Source organism: Homo sapiens, chromosome 4 (genome assembly GCF_000001405.40).
Source record: "Homo sapiens chromosome 4, GRCh38.p14 Primary Assembly".
Classification (NCBI taxonomy): domain Eukaryota; kingdom Metazoa; phylum Chordata; class Mammalia; order Primates; family Hominidae; genus Homo; species Homo sapiens.
The window spans coordinates 31729519-31732364 of record NC_000004.12 but is presented as its reverse complement, the minus strand read 5'-3'; positions in this window follow the sequence as shown (position 1 = coordinate 31732364).

The following is a 2846-nucleotide window of genomic DNA, read 5'->3' as shown; positions in this document are numbered from 1 at the left end:
CTGCCTCAGTCTCCCGAGTAGCTGGGATTACAGGCATGCACCACTGCACCTGGCTAATTTTTTTTTTTTTTTGTATTTTTAGTACAGACTAAAAATACAAAACCATAGAACAACACCATCTTGGCCAGGCGGGTCTTGAACTCCCAACCTCAAGTAATCCGCCTACCTTGGCCTCCCAAAGTGCTAGGATTATAGGCGTGAGCCACCGCACCCAGCAGAAACTTAAATGTAATGTAAATATAACGTGAATTGAGCCCATGAAACTGTAGACCTCTGGCTCCGAGCAACACTAAGGCTCATCTTTCTCAGCAGTATTTACCTTCGTAAGACTCTGAGTGTTTGTGGGTGTAGGGGTGTGTATTTGTATGTACTTTAAAAAATATCTGATTTCTGTGGTGATTCTGACATCACTGAAGCAAAACTGCTACTATATCTAGTAATTCAGAGTGTAATCTCTTAGAGTAGAATTTACTCCTTACTAAATAAATAAATGACAGACAGTTTTAGAAAAGGAAGGAAGGAAGGAAGGAAGATGTAGGAAGGAAAAGAAAGGTAGATTAAAATAAAGTAAGCCTCATGGTTTTTTTGCTTAGAAAATTTTGAAAACTGTCCCATTTTGTTTAGGAAAATCGAGTGAGACTCACTGGGTCTTCATGTGATAATATCGCTTTCAGGAAAATAATTTATATAGATAAGAGCATTTTTGCTAAATCTCAAAGAATGGGTCCTTTTTTCATTTACTACATGGTTCATTACATAATTCAGCATCTTTTGCTTTTTCTGATGGAAAATGGAGCCATATTTCAAAGTGGAATAGGAATAACTACAGAACCTCAGGCAATTTTCACAAAAACAAACACAAAAATGATATACAGCCATTAAATTCTAGTGTTTTGGTCATATACCAGTTTGGGTAATATGTGGTTCTTGAAGTTTTAGCCAGCTAGAATGTTTTTTACAATATTCTATCAATTCATGTTGAATTGCTTTCTGCTCTGCTAAGCAAACTACAAATTTTATTTCACAACAGAAGCAGTGTATCCTAGCATAAAAAATAGGATGTATGCTATTATGTTCAAAACATTTGAGCTTATTATTGCCCATTCTCCTCTTCCTTATATTTTATATGATTACTTTTGCATTTATTACTATAATTACCATGCAAAGTTTTAAAATTGTAATATCTTTACAACATTGCTATGACACTATAGAGAGCAAATATGAGCTCGCTGATGAGCTTTGACATTCTGAAATTTGGCAGATGACCGCTAAAGATAATTGGCTAAAAATTTATGAAAGTATTATTTGAAAGCTATGAAATCCAGGTTTCTTTCTATATCACAACACATTGAAGCTTGCAATTCAGTGTAGCACAAGTCATCTTAGACCTGAAGAGTGAGAAAGAATTTGTAACTGGTCCCATAATATAAATACTATCTTTTAACATTGTCCTTTAGATCAATGAAGTCTTGGAACGTTTTACTAGATTTCCTTAAAAGAAAAACAAATTGGTTATTGCTAGCATTATATATTAAAATATATATCATTTTATCTAAATAGTTCATGAAGTTATTATTTAATTTTACAGCTATGTAATTGGCACCTATTTTGTGGCAGGCTCCAGAATGTTTTAGGAAATACAAAGACAAGTAAGGCATGATCTTTAACCACCAATATCATAACCTTGTGAAGAAAACCAGATTATTTAAAAAGGGAGCTATGATGGAAATATGTATTAAAGTTTTGGCTATATAAGATTTATTAAAATCCTAAATAATGGCTTATTTCATGGGTTGATAATACATATAATATCCAAACAGACAGGTAATGAAATATATCAACTTAATTACCTCATGGATCAATTATACCACACTGGAAAAAAGTTACTGGTAATTAATGATTCAAAACAGAGTAGATCACAGGCTGAACTGCCAGATATTACCATCTCCAGGAGTTGTACAAAGTTTAATATCACTTAATATTGAAAATGATAATTTGCATGATTGTGAAAAACACATTTCCATAATGACTATTATATTTAAAGCACGTGTCTATGTAGCAGAAATAATTGCTTCCATTTTATTAATAATAAAACTAGGCCCAAGGATACTACCCAGGTCAAATAAGTAGAAAGTGTATGATTGTTATTTTTGCCTGCATTTTTCTTTCACTTTGCTTTTGACTCCATATCTCAACTCTCAGACCTGTTATTTCCCTAGCAATTGTAAAAGACAGAGTTATTTCTATTCTTTTCAAATAGGTATGAAAAAATACATTCTACACAATTCCTTCACATATCTAGAAATGTTCTTCCATATAAGGTTGGGATTTCTCAAAGTTTCTGGTTATTTCTCTCACAAAATTAAAAATAAAGGGTCTTTCAATATTGTAAACATGTAAGGAAGAGAAATGCAAAATATTTTTAAGTAAATTGCACTGCATTTAAAAAATATGTTTTTCTTGTTTACATTAATGGCCATCAGCAGTCAAAAATGTTAATGTGGCATCAGGAATAAATATGAAAAATCATGTTTTCTAAATGAGACATCATTTTGAAGGCAATTCAGAGATTTTTTTTTTTTTTGAGGCGGAGTCTGGCTCCGTCGCCCAGGCTATAGTTCAGTGGCGCCATATTGGATCTGGATCACTGCAAGCTCCGCCTCCCAGGTTCACGCCATTCTCCTGCCTCAGGCTCGGGAGTAGCTGGGACTACAGGCGCCCGCCACCACGCCCGGCTAATTTTTTGTATTTTTAGTAGAGAGGGGGTTTCACCGTGTTAGCCAGGATGGTCTCCATCTCCTGACCTCGTGATCTGCCCGCCTCGGCCTCCCAAAGTGCTGGGATTA